This window comes from Homo sapiens, chromosome 6 (genome assembly GCF_000001405.40).
Source record: "Homo sapiens chromosome 6, GRCh38.p14 Primary Assembly".
In the NCBI taxonomy this organism is placed as follows: domain Eukaryota; kingdom Metazoa; phylum Chordata; class Mammalia; order Primates; family Hominidae; genus Homo; species Homo sapiens.
Window position 1 is genome coordinate 84013920 of NC_000006.12, and position 20706 is coordinate 84034625.

At 43.1% G+C, this 20706-nt stretch overlaps 1 protein-coding gene and 1 long non-coding RNA gene across 9 annotated transcripts in view; both read left to right on the plus strand.

Moving 5' to 3' along the window:
* The first annotated feature begins 6967 nt into the window (after positions 1 to 6967).
* LINC02857 (long intergenic non-protein coding RNA 2857) lies at positions 6968 to 12075 on the plus strand. Its single transcript, XR_001744233.3, has 3 exons — positions 6968 to 7070; positions 9108 to 9191; positions 10351 to 12075. It is a non-coding gene; the product is annotated as a long intergenic non-protein coding RNA 2857 (long non-coding RNA).
* MRAP2 (melanocortin 2 receptor accessory protein 2) overlaps positions 19259 to 20706 on the plus strand; it is a 113105-nt gene continuing 111657 nt past the window's right edge. For 6 of the 8 annotated variants that reach the window (XM_017010221.3, NM_001346542.2, XM_047418132.1 and 3 more), the window contains exon 1: positions 19853 to 19964. The gene's annotated coding sequence lies outside the window, so the exon portion shown is untranslated. Of the gene's footprint in view, positions 19452 to 19852; positions 19965 to 20199; positions 20314 to 20706 lie in introns of those variants that run through there. The other 2 variants (XM_017010220.2, NM_001346544.2) reach the window with 2 other exon arrangements.

A 20706-nucleotide genomic window follows, 5' to 3' on the forward strand; every position in this document is an offset into this window, starting at 1 on the left:
CAGGTTAGCAAAAACAAATATGAGCTCAGAAATGCACTTTTCTGCTAGGATATAAAAGTATCATGTTACAGATAAAGTGTAATCTAATGGAACTATCACACTGGGTGATGCTGGGAGAGCCGTGGACATTCTTTAGTTGGAGTCTAAGTAAACTATCTGGTCTTCCAAATCCCAAGACCTAAATTAGTCAAAGCCTATGTCATCAATTGCACGATTTTAGATTTTTCCTTCCCAATCCTTATCTGTGTGTCCACCGGGATTGGAAAGGAAATATTTATTGAGTGTTGAATTAAAGTCCTTATACATCCATGAGAATGGATTTTAAAAATACCTCCTCTGGCTGGGAGTGGTGGTTCATGCCTGTAATCCCAGCACTTTGGGAGGCTGAGGAGGGTGGATCACTTGAGCTCAGGAGTTTGAGACCAGCCTGAGCAACATGATGAAACCCTGTCTCTACAAAAAATACAAAAATTAGCAGGGCGTGGTGGCATGTGCCTGTAGTCCCAGCTACTTAGGTGGCTGAGGTGGGTCACTTGGGCCTAAATATATATATTTAGAACTGTGGTCAGAATTTGCTTCAATTTGTTATGATTTTTCTGATAAAGTCTTTAAAATTTGACTTGGCAAAAGGATGAAAGTAAGAATAAAAAACAAAATGAACAAAAAAACCCTTCTATTGTTATTTTCTTTTCCTTTGGAAATATTCTTTAGATCTTACTTCTTAAATGGGAATGACAAAAAATAATTTCTTTTTCTTTTCTTTTTTGTTTTTGAGAGGAGTTTCACTCTTGTTGCAGTGAAACTGCAGGCTGGAGTGCAGTGGTGCCATCTTAGCTCACTGCAACTTCCGCCTCCCGGGTTCAAGTGATTCTCCTGCCTCAGCCTCCTGAGTAGCTGGGATTACAGGCTCCTGCCACCATGTCCGGCTAATTTTTGTGTTTTTAGTAGAGATGAGGTTTCATCTTGTTAGCCAGGCTGGTCTCAACCTCCTGACCTCAGGTGATCCACCCACCTAGGCCTCCTAAAGTGCTGGGATTACAGGCGTGAGCCACCATGCCCAGCTGACATAAAACAATTTCTGAGCCCACAAATGCTTTTTCTTTCAAGACCTTTTTGTCTCTTAACACATCCCATTTACCAACACATTTTACCTATGTGTAATTCTAAATCCCCATACTGATCATAAAACACTGATAATTTAATCAGATTTTGTTATGAACAACTGATTTTTCTAGGGGCAGAAAAACTTGGCCTATTTAGAAAGTAAATTGGCCAGCTCTATCAACATGAAGCCTGGGGCTTTCTTCACATACTTCATTGCCCTTTACTACTGGGTTTGACCAGCCTTACTTTGCTTTCCTGAAGGCAGCATCTCAGAATGTTGTCTTGGCACATAACTCGGGCTGCTGCTTTGTGATGACCCCAGAACACTGTTCAGATCTCCCTTCCTACCTCCCTTTCTAATCTCCTGCTATTACCCCAGAGTAGCAAACCTAATGGCTGACACTGCCCTAGGACTTGTTTAATTGAATCCTGAAAGTGAAGTGTGCCAGGGCCACTGAACACAGAGGCCCCTATAGCTTTTCCTTAAACAGACTTTTTCCTTAAACAGGCCTCTGCAGTCATCCATCTGTAGCAGCGCCAAGAACTTCCTTTCACACTATTTGGGACACCAAGATCCTCCATGGGGATAGACCCTTTGGATAAGAGTGCCCTAGCACACTGGTTGGCACATTCTTCATTTGTTGTACATACTGGATATATTTCAGTTAGTATTATTAAATGGATTAAGTCTTATAAAAAATATTGGGGCTCTGCTTGGAGAATATGAAAAGGAAATGATAACCATAAGCAATACTCAGGGCTGTAGCATTGACCCTTTGGGTTGGAGCTCAGGTGTTCTTCTGAGAGGCAATAACAGAGCTTACAGTCAACAGAAAGATGTTTGATGAAATGGTCACTCTCCAAAACACTTGCCCCTTGCTGCTGAATGAAGGTAAGTGCAGAGAGCAGAGCCCTGGTAAAGAAGGTGTGAGCATCTCTTCAGGGGTCTGCTTGCCTAGCTGGCTCATTCTGATCAGGAAGTTCCCACATTCTCCAGATGTGTACCTAGAAATTTATGAAGATGACAGAAAGAAATGATAGTCCCTTCTTCCTAAGAAGAATGTATAGGTCCTTTAGAAATACAGACTTCAAAGATTGCAAGCTGCGTCCTGGTACTAATTGCCACTTTGTCTTCACTAAATGGATAATGATAACTTTACAAAGGAAGTTGTCTTGGTTACAGAGCAGCCTGGATTCACATATGTGTCTCTGTGGCTCTTGTCCTCACAATCTGTACTGAATTAATCTCTGCCTTTTGCTCAAGGCTTTTATCACTGAGACACTGTCCTTTTTTAAAAAAAATCTTCTCCAATTATAGAGTTTATGTACTAAATTTTTGTCAGTTGATTTTCAAGGGAGGGTTTGTTCCCCTCCAGGGTGCTATGGATGTGGCCAACTTTGTCTCTTTAGGATCTTTGGAGGAAAGAATTCTTCCCCAGTGAGAATCCCCCAGTGCACCCCACCATGACATACCACCTATGTAACTGCTGAATCTCTCTGCCACCCAGCAATAGCAATGCTGATTGAATTACAATTCAATTACTTAGTGGCCAATATATGTGTATTACAAAAGTTCTAAAAGGAAGAATTGGCGGACTGTATAAGGAGCTCCTGAGAATATAACTGCTGCATCAGGGAATCTTAGCATTTCACAAAGTCAAATCTAGAAATATAATTTATAATTTTAAATAACTTATAGTTGCACTTGTAATTACTTTTTTATTGGTAGCCTTTTGCAAAGCTTGTATGCTCTATGAAGCAAGGGCTGAGTTTATCTTATTTACTGATATGTCCCCAGAACTTAGTACAGAACCAGAACCGTAAAGACACTTAGTCTAGCACTGGTGCTCACTAAAACAGGGATGAATCACTCACTATTCTTTGATCTGTCTGAGATATTCTTTATTAACATTAATGTCTGATTTTTATTATATTTTCTAGTCTGATTTTTATTATATTTTCAGTCACCTAGAAGATATTCTCCAAGCCAAGTACACACTTGGCACATGGAAGGAGTCTATGGAGTGAATGAATTAATGATCTTGAGAGGGTTATTTGGCAACCAATGGGCAACAATAATTTGGGAGCCTGGGAATATAACAGGGAATGGAGAAACAGGTGGAACCCTCCATTCAGACCCAATTGATGACAGCAAAACTGGGACAGGAAGGAACTTTCCAGGTTTTAGCAAGATGGTTGAATCAAAGCAGCAGGTGCCTACTTTGTCCACCATCTTGAATTAAATACTTAAAAATTTTGTGATTAAAATATTTAATAAGACAGCATAACAAAGTGGATAAGAGCCTAGATTCTGGAGCAGACTCTAGGTTTTAATCAGGCAGGCTAGGTGACCTGGAGCAAGTTATTTGAGCTCTCTAAGCCTCAGTTTTCTCATCAGCAAAATGGAAATAAAGATATTAATAGTACCTACCTAATCACATGGTTGTTATGGGGATGAAATGAGTTAATCTTTACAAGATACTCATACCATGCATGGCAAATAATAAATGTCATATAAATGTATGTTAAATATAAACAAATAATTATCTTTTGTGGAAGGAAGATAAGAATGTTACTGTGTGTATTAGTATCTCTTATCCTGTAGCAAATATTCTGTATTTTATCTCTTTAGAATATGCAGAAATCCACGATCTCTACCTGAGATTTAAGGAAGCATGAGTTATTGATTTAAACCTTGCATCTGGTATAGAATTAAACATCTCCTGCCTGATGAGACAACTGAAAGGTAGCCCACAGTTGATTGCTCTTTGATGACTTGTTTTTATTCTGCTTCCAAAATCTGATAGAACATCCATTAGAGTTTGGCAGAAACTCTGTTCTCTAATCAGCACTATGAGTTGAGTTTGCCTCAGAAACTGGAAGGAAGAACTGATTTTCAAACAATTTAATTGTCATCTAATGACATTCATGGCTTGATTTGTCTGATTGATGAGTTAAATTACTTCACCTGGTCCTGCGAGGGAACTGACAGTGCATTCAGTTTCTCATCCCCACTCTACAAATAACTATTTCTGGTGACTACAGCAACCACATGCACTTTCATCTTCTGAATTTAATCAGGCAACATGCTGTTTACTGATTCATTTGAGTTGTACAGCAGAATACTAAAAGAGGACAAAATAAAGCTGATTCTTCCTCCATCATGAGGAAGTGTCTTGTGAACTTTGTTTTTTCTGATCAAGCAGGGATCTTACCAAGGTTGAGCCCAAAGGCAATTAAAATAAAATAAGAGGAAATAGGTAGAAAATCAAAATGATAAGTCTGAGGACAAAGGTAGACTTTATAGACCAAGCAGTGAGATTGTTAAGAGGCAGAGCTGGATATAGGATGGAAGAATGTGTGTATGCCCAGAAGCCCACTGATCCACATCCTATCTGGAAAAAATCAGCATTCCTGCTTTGTGTAGTTGCCTTGCCTGATTAACTACTTTTACATTCCATCTATCTGGCAAGATTTGACAATGTGTGGTATAGCCATTCCTGCTCTAAAGACATAGGCTTAGCTATACTCTTAGAGGAAATTCAAAGATCAATTTTTAGTGAAACCGCTTTATTTTGAATTTGAGAGAAATCTGTCCAATTAGAATGATGTCACCATTTGAGGTTCTGAATTCTATCCCTTTATCCTTATTAAGTATCCCTTAATACTAATCTAGACTAATTTTTCTTTGAGGACCAAGTCCCAGGTCCTTACATATGGCAGGCAGATCTCAAAGGAGATTTAAAAGGGGCACCTGTCTTCAAGAAGGCAGGAAGTTTGCCTCCCAGCATGGTGCCTGCTGCTTGACTTGAACACACCTCTCCCTTTTCCTTCACCAGACTTCTGACTGGTCACCAGGTGAGAATGTCAAATCTGACTCACATGAATCAGAAGTCTTCCCTAGTGACAAGCTGTACTACTAATTTCCAGGAGACAAGGAATCAAGAAGTATAGGCTGAGCAGGGACCAGAGTGGGACTTTCAGTGCAGGTGTCCAGGCCCTTTCTTGAAGTTTTGGTTCCACTCTGGCTCAGGAGAACACATGAGGTATCAAAGGGATGTATGCAGGTCAAATTACTTATACAAAGGAGAGCCATTTCAGTCTTGAAACCTCTCCATTTTATACTCAGCTAGTTATATAGCTTACTTAACTGTGACAAGGAGCCATGCCCCAGAGATTTACAGACGCCAGATTTGTTTTCCAGAAGCAATCCTAGGCGATCTGGTACACATGACTAAATCTCTCCTTACAGGATTCTTCCCCTATCAATTTCATCACTTTACTTTGCAGGAGAACCATCATTACAAGGAGATTAGAGAAGGTCACTGATTTTTTTTTTTCCCTCAGGCGGGCACGGGGATTCTCTGCCTTCTTAAAGGGGAGCGTGTGCTGTAGACCTGCTGCTTAATCGTGTCCTTCCCGGAGATAAAGCAGTTGCTCACCTGAAAAGCCTTGGAAGGCAAGGCGGTGGGGAGGGTGGCGAGGAGGTGGGGAGGGTGGCGAGGAGGTGGGGAGGGTGGCGAGGAGGTGGGGAGGGGGCGAGGCGGTGGGGAGGGGGGCGAGGCGGTGGGGAGGGGGGCGAGGCGGTGGGGAGGCGGGGCGAGGCGGTGGGGAGGCGGGGCGAGGCGGTGGGTTCGGGGGCGAGGCGGTGGGGTTGGGGGGGGGAGCACTGCTCTAGGGAATGAATCCGTGTTTAAAGCAAATATTGCAGAGACCATTCTCATCAAAAGAAAGCAGAGCCATCTTTTAAGATCTACTAAAACCGCAGATAGTGAACAACTTCTTTTCTAAGTTGGGAATGCTTCTGCCCAGAGATTTATTGTCCTCATTATGTTTTGCTTGGATTTCTTAAAAAAAAATAAAAATAAAAAAAAAATAAAAAAGGAGCTCGAGTTACCCAAGCAGCCACCGTTTCTTGTGAAAAGGAAGCAACCCAGCTCCAGAAAATGCTCTCAGGCACAGAGAAAAACAAACCTGGCAAAACATGAACCACAGACAGCAGCTGCAGCGTCTCTTGGGAGATATTTTAGTTTCATGGAAAGCCTAATTGAGGCCTAACTCATTCACATCCCGAGATGATGTCCATTTGAGGTGGGCCATTCTTGATACCACTTAAAAAAATATATATATATATATGGCTGGTTGCGGTGGCTCACGCCTGTAATCCCAGCACTGTGGGAGGCCAAGGCGAGTGGATCACCTGAGGTCAGGAGTTCAAGACCAGTCTGGCCAAAATGGTGAAACCCCGTCTCAACTAAAAATAAAAAAAAAAATTAGCTGGGCATGGTGGCGGGCGCCTGTAATCCCAGCTACTTTGGGAGGCTGAGGCAGGAGAATCACTTGAACCTAGGAGGTGGTGGTTGCAGTGAGCCGAGATGGTGCCATTGCACTCCAGCCTGGGCAACAAGAGTGAAACTGTCTTAAAAAAAAAATTATTATTGTATTTTATTATGTTCCTGGGTACATGTGCAGGATGTGCAGCTTTCTTACATAGGAAAACATGTGCCATGGGATACCACTTTTTATGTGACCCTGGAATTGAAGCAAAATTACTTGTGAGGATTAGATAACTGATGCTTTGTCACAAAAAAAGAGCATAAACAGATTCATTGACTTACCCAGAGTACCAAAATTATTTACTTTTGGACTCAAACTCAGAAGTCCAGATTTGAACATTTTTTCACAACAAGGTGGAAACTGTGGCCATGCGATTGTTGCTCATATCATGCATAACCAAGAATAACAGCTGCTGCCCCATGGTATTTACTCCATGACAGACACCATCCCAAGCTCTCCACGTATGTGATTTCATTTCATCACTGCAAAAAACCTGGAGGCCATGTTTATCCCTATTTTACAGATAAAAAAACCAAGGCACAGAACAAGTTAGTGGCAGAACAGAGATTCCAATGAAGACCTCTTTGACTCTGATCCTGTGTTCTCACTGCCTCTTGTACTGCCTCTCCGTAAGTACATTGATCCTGCCAAACAGCTTCATTCCATTAATCGGTTTTTTAAATTTATTTTTCAGAAGTGGACAATGGTGAGCAATTGTTTTTCCAGAGCACAGACACCCATGAGTTTAGACCTATCTTCAGTAATTAGCTTTTCCAAATATTCCCATCTACCTAGGTAGACATGTGTTTTAAATCATTTTCACCTGATGCTCTTTCTCTTCCACTGAATATCCTTCCTTCATGAATTACATACATTAATGTATCATATATATTTGTAAATACATTTATGTTATATATGTGCTATGGTCTGAATGTTTATGTCCTCCCAAAATTCATATGTTGAAATCCTAACCCCTTCAGTGATGGTGTTAAGAGGTGAAGCCTTTTGGGGGTGAATAGGTTCTAAAGGTAGAGCCCTCATGAATGAAATTAATGAGCCCAAGGGAGTTCATTCATCCCTTCCACCATGTGAGGACACAGCGAGAAGCTGCCATCCTACGAACCAGGAAGCAGGCCCTCATCAGACACTGATTCTCCCAGTGCCTTGATCTTGGACTTCCCAGCCTATAGAACCATGAGAAACAGATTTTTATTGTTTATAAGCCATCCAGTTTACCGTATTTTGTTAGAGCCGCAAATGGACTAAAACAATATGTTATGTATGTATATTTATAGATATATCCCGTCTTCTACTTTAGGTTTAACATGGCTTTGTTCTCAATTAATGAGAACATGAGGAGTGAGTATTAACTTTTCCCTTAAAATAGAGGGCAATCTGCTAGAAACCTTCCATGGAAAGATATGTTTATCTTTCTCAATTTCCAAGTGCAGAGGACATCTGTGATGTCACACGATTACTTCACTTCTGGGTAAATACAATCCAGTGATTATAATGGAGAACTTGGTAAAATACTGGAAAACTAAAGGCCAGAATTTAATTAAGCAAAACATACTGAAGTGCACTAAAATAATCATGCAACTCTCAAAATAAGCAATGCTTTAAAATGAAGATTAAACATTTCCCTAAGGCATCAGTCCTACATGTTTTTATTATTTTTATTTTAAAGATGAGGTGTCACTCTGTCACCCAGGCTGAAGTGTGGTGGCACAATCATGGCTCACTGCAGCCTTGAATTCCTGGGCTCAAACAATCCTCCCACCTCAGCCTCCTAAGTAGCTGGGACTAGAGGTCTGTGCCCCCAGGGTCGGCTAATTAAAAAAAAATTTTTTTTTTTTTTTTTTTTTTTTGGTAGAGACAGGGTCTTGTTGTGTTATCCAGGCTGGGCTCAAACTCCTGGCCTCAAGCTATCCTCCCACCTCAGCCTCTCAAAGTTCTGGGATTGTAGGTATGAGTCACCCTGCCCTGCCAGTCCTGCACATTTTACCAAACATTTCTGTTATCAATACACAGATCCATACTTTACCCTTCCAGTTTCATGAACATTGTATGAAACACCAGAACTTCCCATTTCTAAGGTACTGTAACTTCATAAGAACAACATACTTTAAAAACACAATATAAGAATAGTGTTTGTGTTTTGTGAGTTGTGGTTATCCATTAACAAACACTGATAAAGCACGTGTTATGTGCCAGACATGGGGTTTTCAAAAATGAGTAAGAGGGCCGGGTGCGGTGGCTCACACCTGTAATCCCAGCACTTTGGGAGGCCAAGGCGGGTGGATCACGAGGTCAGAAGATCGAGAACGTCCTGGCTAACACGGTGAAACCCCGTCTCTACTAAAAATACAAAAAAAATTAGCCGGGCGTGGTGGCGGGCGCCAGTAGTCCCAGCTACTCGGGAGGCTGAGGCAGGAGAATGGCATGAACCTGGGAGCCGGAGCTTGCAGTGAGCCGAGATCGCACCACTGCACTCCACCTGGGCGACAGAGCGAGATTCGGGCTCGAAAAAAAAAATGAGTAAGAGGTAATGTCAGCCTTTGGAGAACTTCATGGCTTAAAAATTAAAATATATTAGGCTTGTAAAGAGCACTGCTTCTTTCTGCGGCTTTGTCTCTTTGTAACATAAAATTTGTGGTAATTTTTAGGAAACTCAGGATATGTTGTCCACTCCAGAAGTATGAGGTGGGACTGCAGGAATATGAGCTCCTCTCCACATGCAGGGACCCCAGGTGAGGTAACATGGCAGGTGCGGAGCACCAGAGCAGGTGCTACCAGGGCTGAGTTTTCATATTTATTTATTTATTTGTTTTTGAGACAGAGTCTTGCTCTGTTGCCCAGGCTGGAGTACGTGGTGCAATCACAGCTCACTGCAGCCTCAAATTCCTGGGCTCAAACAGTCCTCCTACTTCATCCTCTGGAGTAGCTGGGACTACAAATGCATGCCACCATGCCTTGCTAATTTTTAAATTTTTTGGTGTCAAGATCTTACTATGTTGTCCAGGCTGATCTTGAACTCTTGAGCCCAAGTGATCCTCCAGCCTCAGCCTACCAAAGTGCTGGGAGCCATCCTGCCCAGATGGGATGAGTTTTCATTCTTCCTCCACAACTCTCTGTGTGCTCCTGGGGAGGTCACTGAATCTTTCTAAGCCTTAGTTTCTTCATTCATAGCAGGGAAAATAGCTGCTCTACATACCTCAGGCAATCATCATGGGGTCAAATAAGAAAACAAGTGAAACATTTTGAAAACTGTAGTAGGCATTTGTAAGCTCTATAGAGGCATGGATTTTTGTCGGTTTGTTCACTCTTGGAGCCCTAGCATCTAAAACAATGCCTGAATCATCATGAGTCCACAATACAAATTTATTGAATGAATGCACATGATAAAGGAACTCACCTTTTCACTTTAAACTATTCAAGATTATGGTAATCAATTATATTCTATTTTACAAAAGGAGAACACTAATTTTTTTTTTTTTTTTTTTTTTTCTGAGATGGAGTTTTGCTCTTGTTGCCCAGGCTGGAGTGCAATGGTGCGATCTCGGCTCACTGCAACCTCCACCTCCCAGGTTCAAGCCATTCTCCTACCTCAGCCTCCCGAGTAGCTGGGATTACAGGCATGCACCACCAAGCCTGGCTAATTTTGTATTTTGGTAGAGATGCGGTTTCTCCATGTTGGTCAGGCTGGTCTTGAACTCCCGAACTCAGGTGATCCACCTGCCTCAGCCTCCCAAAGAGCTGGGATTACAGGCCTGAACCACCACGCCCGGCCAGAGAACACTCATTTTATATAACTTCTAGAGTCACTGTTTCTCAGGGCTGGAAGGGAGCTTAATGAGTACATGATCCAGCCTTGCAGGTTGATGAACACCTTGACTCTGTCCTTGCCAGGTGCTTATCCAGCCTGTTCGAGATCATAGCCACCAAGGGGGAACTCTCTGGACAACCTGGCAGAAGTTCCCCTCACTCAGCTGAAACCTGCCTCCACCTGAGGCCACAGAGCAAGTCTCCCTGGGCTTCTGGGTCTTCAGACATTTGGAGACAGTTATTATCTCTCCCTGCCCTCAGATTTACCATGTCCAGGCTAAATGGATGATTTCTCACTTATAAATGTAAGGCATTTAATAATTACATTTCTTGATAATAAAATAAGGAAAAATTTAGGGTTTTTAAACAAAAAATTGCATTGGTATATGTCTGCTGTTACCCACAGGAGGCCCTTGTTTGCAAAGCTAGATATTGCTGGACCCACCTATTGGTAGACATCTGAAAAATTTCTGCAAATGTGAAATAAATATTAAGGTCCAGAGAGAATAACTGTATTTTGTAATATCTGTAATATAGCTGTGTATTTTATCATATCTGCCTTTATATAATATAATGATAAATATAAATATCATTGCAGCAATAGTTATAGTAGAAAAAAATCTGGAGTCCACCTAAGTGTCTATTAATAATGAGATAGTTAAATAAATTATGGTGTCTACTCAGCCATTAACAGTTGATGTTTGGATTCAGGTGCAGTGGTGCCTGCCTGTAGTACTGGCTACTCAGGAGGCTGAGGTGGGAGGATCACTTGAACCCAAGAATTTAAGGTCAACTTAGGTAATGTAGCAAGAACACCCTCTCAAAAAGGAGTCGATGCTTATAAAGTTATATAATAATATAGAAAATGCCTACAATATAATGGAATTATGTGGGAAAATCAATATACTCATTTAAAGGTACCATATGATATGGTTTGGCTCTGTGTCCCCACCCAAATTTCATGTTGAATTGTAATTACCAGTGGGAGGTGGGAGGTGATTGAATCATAGGGGTGAATTTCCCCCTTGACTTTCTTGCGATAGAGTTCTCACAAGATCTGGTTGTTTGAAAGTATGTAGCACCCCACCCCTTCTCTCTCTCTCTCCTGCTGGCCATATGAAGATGTGCTTACTTCCTTTTCACCTTCTACCATGATTGTAAGTTTCCTGAGGCTTCCCCAGAAACAGAAGCCTGTACAGACCACAGAACCATGAGCTGATTAAACCTCTTTTCTTTACACATTACCCAGTCTCAGGTATGTCTTTACAGCAGTTTAAGAATGGACTAATACACCATATGGTTGCTATGTAAACAGCCATGTTTTACAACAGTCTTAAAGTAAATGCAATATGTTAAGTAAAATAAGCCTGATATAGAAAGACAAATATCTCATTCTCTCACTCATATATAGGAGCTAAAAAAAAAATTGAACTCATGGAGATAGAAAGCAGAATGATGATTACCAGACACTGGGAAGGGTAGTAGGGAGAGAGGATAAAGAGGAGTTGGTTAATGGGCACAAAAATACAGTTAGATTAAAAAAAAAAAAATAAGATCTAGTGCTCAGTAACCCAATAGGGCAACTATAGTTTACAATAGCTTATTGTATATTTCAAAATAACTAAAAAGTAGAATTAGAATATTCCTAACACAAAGAAATGTTAAATGCTTTAGGTGATGGATATCCCAATTACCCTGTTTGATCATTACATATTGACACACTGGTACCAAATATCACATGTACCCCATAAATATTTACAACTATTATGTATCCATAAAAATTAAAAATAAAAAAATTTAAAAATAAAAGTACAAAATGCTATCATTGGTGGTTTTACAGTAGTGAAGTTATAGATGACTTTTTCTTCTATTTTGTTTTCCAAAAAGTGCTGATATTACCTTTAAAATAATAAAAAATTTAAATGTTTCATATTTATTTCAACATTTCTTTCTGAGATTTTATACACAGACACACATACCCAGATACACACACACACGCACATGCACACACCCACACACGCACGCACACACACACCTCCTTTTTATTATTCATCATCCTCACATTGGGTCAGTTTCTACAAAATGGGCATGAATTTTGGTGGGACCAGAAATGTTAAGAACAGTACTAGTGATAATTTGAGCAGAGGCAGAAGAATGCTGAATGCTTTCAGCACATAGTGATCACAGAATATCTTTGAGGTAAAAGAACCAAGAAGAGAAAAGTGACCCTCATGGGCAGATGAAGCCACCCAGGGCTGCAAGACCTCATCTTCCCCTCACTGAATAGACAGGTGTGCAGGCATGTGGGAAAGAGAGGGGGCATGAGTATGTGTGGACTCCACCCACACCGCTGTAACAGTCAATGTCTAGGCTCAACGTGTTTCTCTATTTCGGAATAATTCCATCATGCGTTGTATTGGCTGTGACACAATTAAAGGAATAACAAGGAGCAAAGCACCAGGACAAGTTAGTCTCTCTTTTCCATTTGCTGTCTGAGAGTGGCTGAGCTCCGTGCCAATAAACTGAAGCTTCCTCATTATTGTGTGATAGTAAACAAGAAGCCATCAGGATTTCACTTCAAAATGCACCAATTCAATTTTGAGGGAAAGAAATTTGCTAGTGTTAGAGCCTAGGGCTACACATGATCGCCATGAGGCTACAGTTTCTCCTCGGTGTGCCATCTCTCTCTCTTTCTGGTAGTGCAAAATGAATTTTAGTTGGCATTTCAGCATGGCTCACAGCTTCGTCTTCTTGATTGAATGCCAAGCATGAACTAAAATATATCAGATGTTTTGTCTGCCTAGTGCCACGTTATGTGGGTGGAAGTCTGTGCAGTTCTACTGGAGGAACAAAACAATAGGATTAGCAGCAAGCGGGAAGCTTCAAGTAAATGATTAAACATTGGAAGGGAAAGAAAAAATGAATATTACCAGGAAGTAGGGGCTGAGGTCCTGTATGTATGAGCCTGCAGAGGTGTGCGGTGCCCTGGCATGTGTTCCCTGGAATAAAAAGGAATGATTGGCAAGTGAAAGCAGTGCACATATATTCAGGAATAATTGTGCTGATTTGAAAAGAGCAACAGTATAAAACCAAGACAAAGCAAATGAAATCCAATTTATGCCAAAGAGTAAGAAAGTTTATAATACTCAATAAACCCTCAAATCACCTAAGAAAGAAATGGGCAGAGAATTGTTGCCATTAATGAGATGGGAGCAATTCACGATGAGAACGTGACCATTTGCAGCATGCACTCCTCACATCTTGCAAGCCTTGGGGCTTCTGAACACTCACTCCTCCTATTTACTTTCTGAAACTTAATTGAGGAAAAGGAGGAAACTGTATCCTTGATATGAGTTGTACTTGCTGCTCCCTGGGTTGGCTTTAGCTAGTAGAATTCCTGGGTTCCTTTGTGTGTGAGGTTTTGCCTTTGATTTGACTGGATGATAGATTATCCTCGTCTCTAAAGGAAACAAGTTAGAGAGGTAACTGTGTCATAGTATGTACTTTAACTTCTGAAAACAATGTCAATTTTTCTTTCTCATCACTTTCTTCAGTTGGTCCTGCCTTGTTGTTGGACTCATTATAAAAAAGCCAGGTTTTCCATGCCCAGACACATTAACTATCAGGGATGTGTCCTTCTCTGAGACAAGTCTTGATTTTACTGCTTCCTGCTGAGCCTGACTGCTGGCATTGGTCCTAATCAACTGGAAAATAAATGGAGCTTCCCAGGTCTTGAGTCAACACTGAGCCCCTGTTTTCCTGATGCTGCCAGCTGCCAGCCAGCCCATTGCCAAGAAACCATGCCAGAGCTCATGTTCCCTTATTTTCTCTCTACTTCCTTTTCCCTATCTGCTCTCCACCTCTGCTGTAATGCCTCCGGGCATTTTCTTAGTTCACTCTGTTTTCAAATCTTTCTTTATTACTCAGACGTCTGGGAACATTCTTGCTGTGTTTCATTGCTGTGTATTTTTTTCCATAAAATACTTCTTAACTAGATGGTGTCACCTTGAACAAATGAAAGGGAATATATTTTAGGTTTTCTTTTGTATCCACCCTGACCCTCCAACCCTTCAGTTCCCCAACCCCAGAAGGGCCCAGGACAATGCGAGATACTCATCAATGAATGACTAAATGATTAAATTTCCTGAAGGATAATTCAGGTTTTTTTTTTCCCCTCCAGAAGTTCTCTTGATTTATTCTCTTACTCTTTATTATCTTATTCATCAATTATTTCCTTTCTCAACTCTTATCTTAAACTTATCCCTTCCTTTGGGATCCTTGTTCTCAATCTAGAAACATGTTTATGTCTCTCATCTGAAACAAATGAATAAAGACAAAACAAAACAAGCACAACCTTTCCCTTGACTCTGTCTCCCATTGGTTAATTCAACATTTGTTTCCTGTGCCTACTATGCGCCACTGTTCTGGGGGCTGCATGGAGGCAGAACAGTTGCTTCTCTCATGGATCTAGGGAGAGGATTCAGATAAAAAATATATATATATATATATCCACAGGAAAAGCTCCAGCTACAGCTTTGTTATTCAGGCCTAGGCTATTTGGAGTCTTGGTTAGAAGGCCTTCCACTGGCCCTTCCAGCAGGCTGATTTAGCTTTGGTGACTGGGTGTGGGCTGGATATTAGGCCTCCTGACCTCCTGTCTCCCATAAATCTGCACAAGGGCCCTCAGCAGCCCCAGTCTCCTCTTTCCTCCCAAGCCTGCTTAGAAGACTAGCCTGTAATTGCACTCCCTATTCTTTAACCAGCAGCAACCTGGTCCCAGTGCCTACCACATGACCTCCATGCTAGGGCCCATGGGGTTTGGTTCCTAATTACATGTCCTTGGGCCTTAGACATTATTACCCATTTCTCCACTGGGTTTCACCTTTTCTTGTCCACCTCTATGTCCCTAGTTGCTCTTTCTGACATCAGCCCTCTTCTCTTCTCACTTTATGTTTCCAAGAAGCAGTCTCACCCATCTGCCAGCTTTAATCACACCACCTCACTGATGAACCCCAAGTTGTCTTCAGATCTCCATTTCCCAATTCCCAAGGCCTAGCTTCATGGGCGTATGACTGGTGCAGTGGCACAGGACACCATGCTTAGAAGGTTAAGCATTAAATCCTCCCTGGGGATTTAATGCTCTGTGGTCGCCATCTTGGAATTCTTAAACTTCTTTGAAATTTGAATTGGTATTCTGTAAGTCTATCAGTCTGCTCAGGCCACCATAACCATGTACCACAGACTGGGTGGCTTAACCAATAGAAATGTATTTTCTTGCAATTCTGGAAATGAAGGCCAAAAGCAAAGTGCCAGCAGGGTAGGCTTCCTCTGAGGGCTGTCAGGAAAGGCTCTGTTCCAGGCCTCTCTCCCTGCCTTGCAGATAGCCACCCCCATGCTGCCTCTTCATATCGGAGTCCTTCTGTATCCATATGCCCCATGGTGTCTCTCTGTGTGTACTCTTCTTATAACAACAGTCAGATTGGGGTAGGGCCCACCCATATGATCTCATTGAACCTAATCACCTTTTTCAAGGCCCGATCGCCAAATACAGTCACATTCTGAGGTACCAAGGCTTAGGACATATGAATTTTGGGGGACACCATTCAGCCCATCGCAGCAATTGAAGTCAGATGAGGCAATGAAGCACGCGCTTAGGGCTTAGAGTCGTGGCTCTCTGTGGCCCTGCTTTCTGCCACCTTCCCAGGACACATTCTCAGGTGCCTCCCTGCCTCTTGGCCTTCTGGCCACCCAGCAACCCCTTCCTTCCACACTTAGAAGGCACATGGGCACAGGTGCTGGGAGGACCAGGGTCAAGCCATCCTAGCCCCGGGATGTCAGTGCCACTGCATGTTTGGAGGTGATTTGGCAGGGGCAAGCCTTGCACCCACCCCAATCCAGGTATCCAGCATATCCTGGTTGATGTTGCAATTCCTTGGGATTTCCTGAAGTCCATGGACCTATGGAAGGCTGTGGGAAAGGAAAGTGACTTCCCCCACTTCCTAGCCCTGGGTCATTCAGCCTTTTTGAGAATTTGACTAAAGTTAGACAACCTCTCTCTACCCTGGAAAGTTGACATACATAGACAGCCATGATTTTTATATATATTAAGCGGGTGATGAACTTCATAAAAGCTACTCTGTGCACCTCTTGTGATTTGGCCCTGCTTACCTTTCCAGCCTCATGTCAACTCTGCTTTCACCATGCTGCAGCCCTCTTGAATCAGCAAAGCCATTCTCTGAATGCATTGTATCCTTCCACGCGTGTTTTTGCAAGCGCTCTTTCCTCTGTCTACCATATGCTTTCCTTCATTAGCATTGTAAAAAACTTCAAAATTAAAATTACATTCTGTCTTCTTAGAGAATCCATGCTGTCACCTCCTACTTCCTATAACCTAAGTTAAACCAAGTGCTCCTCTAGGACATCCATGAGTCTAAAAGGTTTATAATACTAAGTTTTTATTATTTCCTTACCTTTGTCCTTTCTACAGGATTGTGAGCATTTTGAGGACAAGGACTGTGTTTTAATCATTGCTATTTTCCTGGTGTCTAGGACAGAGCTGAGCACAGTCAATGTTTGCAAATATCTGTTGAAAGATCAAATGAATGCATTCCTGAATGAACGACTGAAAGAGAAGTATGAGCTTGTGGTGAGCTCATTTTGGAGCCAAACGGTGCTGGGTTTAAATCCTGGCTCTCTTGAAGACTAGTATTGTGACCTAAGGGAGATTACTCTAAAGCCTCTGTTTTCTAATCTTGAAATAAGGCAAATGGAATTTACCTCAAGACAAACCATTGTCAACTTATATTGATGAACAACAGCTATAGCTACATATAACTTAGTCCTGTCACTAAATTTCTGTGAGTTATCTTGGAATGAAAAGACAAAATTAAAAGACAATGAAGCTGTATTCTTGCAGATTAATTTATTAAGAACAACAGTAAAAATATACTCATTGAATGTCTACTGGGTAGAAGACATTATGCTAGGACCTGTGGAGAAATTAAATATAAATTAATATTTGGCCTATGGAGGAGTTAAGGTATACAGTATAGGCTAAATTTTAAAATAAAGTAGGAAATGTCAGGTGCCATAAGAGAGGTATCAGATTTTAGATTAAGAGTTCGTTTGTAGCTGAGACAATGAGGAAGGCTTTTTGGGACAAGTGGTGTTTGAAAAGACCTTTCCTACAAAGGAAAGGTCAAAAGATTTTTGCTGACAGTGGAGGAAGGAAGACAGGAATGAATGCAACCATGAGGAGGTGGAGATATCTAGGAGAGAAATGTGGGCTTGGCCATCCTATTGATGTCATTGTTTCACCAGATGCTGCAGTTTCAGCTTCTGAAACCAAGGGTTAGTGACCTGCCTTTTTCACAAAGTACAATGTGCCCTGGTTTTCTGTCTGGAGCCATTGATGCTCTGCCCAGAACAAGGCCACCTGATGCCGACAGCTAAGGCAGAAATTGGCCTGTTCACACCGTAGCCCCTCAGAAGCAGCAGTTTTGTCACTCTTTTTCACAATGCCCTGAAGACACTTGGCAGAGGCTCTACTGCAGGGGTGAGGAATCACATCCCTGTGAATAGGAATGAGCAACTGGAACTGGTGTGGACACTTGGGGAATGATTAATAAATCTTATCACAGATTGTCAAATTATGTTATTTAGAATCAAACTGCTTGTGGATGAGGCAGAAGATACATACACACACTATAAAGATGGTTTTCTCTAATGACCAGTGATGATGAGCTTTTTTCCATATGTTTGTTGGCTGCATAAATGTCTTCTTTTGAGAAGTATCTGTTCATATCCTTTGCCCACTTTTTGATGGGGTTGTTTTCTTCTTGTAAATTTGTTTAAGTTGCTTGTACATTCTGGATATTAGACCTTTGTCAGATGGATAGATTGCAAAAATTTTCTCCCATTCTGTAGGTTGCCTGTTCACTCCAAATGCCCATCAATGATAGAATGGATAAAGAAAATGTGGCACACATACACCATAGAATACTATGCAGCCATAAAAAAGGATGAGTTTGTGTCCTTTGCAGGGACATGGATGAAGCTGGAAACCACCATTCTCAGCAAACTAACACAGGAACAGAAAACCAAATGAGCATGTTCTCACTCATAAGTGGGAGTTGAACAGTGAGAACACATGGACACAGGGAGGGGAACATCATACACCGGGGCCTGTCGGGGGTGGGCGGCAAGGAGAGGAAGAGCATTAGGACAAATACCTAATGCAAGCGGGGCTTAAAACCTAGATGACAAGTTGATAAATGCAGCAAACCACGCTGGCACATGTATACCTATGTAACAAATCTGTACATTCTGCACATGTATCCCAGAACTTAAAATTAAAAAAAAGAAGAAGAAGAAAAATGGTGTTCAAAATATTTCATTTTACAAGTGGTAATGAAACTGAGCTTTTAAAAAAAAATCAGTGATGAGATGTCATTTCCAGGAATCCTCTTTTGGCACCACCAGCTTGAGTTCATCACACTGCCACCAGCCTGCATGGGTGCTGCATTTCCCCTGCTGCTGTATAATGGTGGTTAAACTATGGTTCTGGGGCACCAGGCTTCCTGACCTTGAAGGCAAGCTCCTCTATTGACTAGCATATGACCTTGGGCAGTTCCTTTAACCTTCCTAAGTTACAGTTTCTCATCAGTAAAATGGAAATGGTGGCAATACCTGTCTAATATGGCATATGGAGAGTAGTAAAAGAAATGACTAGTGCAGTAAAGAACATCTCAGTGCCTGCCACACAGCAAGTGCTTTCTCTCCAGATACCAGCGTGACTTCTTTCTGTCTCATCTCCTTTAGATCTTTACTCCACTGTGAAGCCATCTTTGACCATCCCATTTAAAAATGCACCCCCTACCTCCAAACATTATCCCATTTCCTCCCTTCTTTTTTGTCCACCGCACTTCATCACTATCTCACATACTATGTATTTTAGTTATTTGTTATGTTTATGCCTGTCTCTTTAGTAGAATGCAAGCACCAAGCACCTGTATTCCCAGATCAATGCCTGGCATGCAATAAGGACTCAAGGGAGGAAGAGATGAGCCAGCCCTGCTATGCTGAAACTACTCCCGGCCCAGTGCTAGCCCTTTGGGACCCCGTTTGAACGTCTGACTGCCCTTTGACACCTGGACCAGTGGGCAGGAAGAGAAACTAAAATCGAGGTAGTAATTTAAGCAGCACATTATGGGGGGGCTCTGGCCTTACTGAACTTGAACTCAATGCTGCCGATTTTTCATAAGCCTTGATTCATGATACCCCACTCCCTCTTGCTCAGCTAATGAGCTCCTCCTGTTACCCAAAGTTGACCCGAGGGACCCACTGCAGAGCCCGGGATGGCAAAGAATTCTCTGACTCAGGCTCTGACCCGGACTCGGAGGGGCAAAGTGAGCAGGAAAGGGATCTGCAAAGCTCACCTCCTCTTGGCCAAGGCGGCCTCGCGCTGGGGAGGCGGCTCTCGCGCTGGGGAGGCGGCTCCCGCGCTGCAGCCCTGCTCCGGCGCCCCGCGCCGCCTCCGCTGCGGGTCGGGAGCGCGCGTCTCCGCCGCACCTCGGATCTAGGAGCTACTCGCCCGGCCCTGGGCGGTGGGAGGCGGCGGCGGCGGCGGCGCTCGCGCACCTCGGAGGAGCCAGGAGCCGGAACCAGGGCCGAGCCCGCGGGCCGGGGCTAGCCAGCCGGTAACCACGGGCGGGACAGGGCGCCCAGGGCGGAGCAAAGCCCGGGCGCTGGGTGCGGGGCGCGTGCAGCTTTGGTCAAGGCAGGGCTTGCTTGGGTTTGGGGGCAGTCTTTAGTTTAGAGGGGCTAGAGAATGGGGTGGGAGGAGGAGAATTGGGGTGTGAGGACGCCCACGGGAAGAGTGTGGACCCCGTGGAGAGCACCAAGTTTAAAACCTTCCCGGCAGCCCGCTGATGTGCGTGTGGACGCCGCTGGGCGTCCGAAAAGCCTGGAAGCGGCGGCGCTCGGGGCTTGGGTGGGCTTCCTCCCCTCCGCTGGGCCCCAGCGGCCGAGGCACACCCTTTCCCGCTGGTGAGAAAACTTTCCTTGCTGCGGCCCTCCTGCCGCCTTGGTGCCCTGCAACTGAGAGAGCCCCCCTGGGCTGGGGAAATGTGCTGGCTCCTGGCCCCGGGCGCGCCTCCATGCACTGGGCAGGGTTCTCAGATGATGCCTGGCTTGACAGTTGCTCATTCATTTTGTTTGGACTGGGGAGCCTGCTCGCAGGTCGTGTTACTGATTAGAGGGAAATAGGGGTTTTACACTTTCCCCGCCGCCCCACCCCGCAACCCGCCCCCGCTCCCCCCGCCCGCCCCGCGCCCCGTGCCCCGTGCCTTTCCCATCCTTTCTGTGTAATTAATTGAGGAAGGCAAAGAGTAGTCTCTGCAGAAACCTGTTTGGAGGCGTTGTGGTTTCCACAGCATGTTA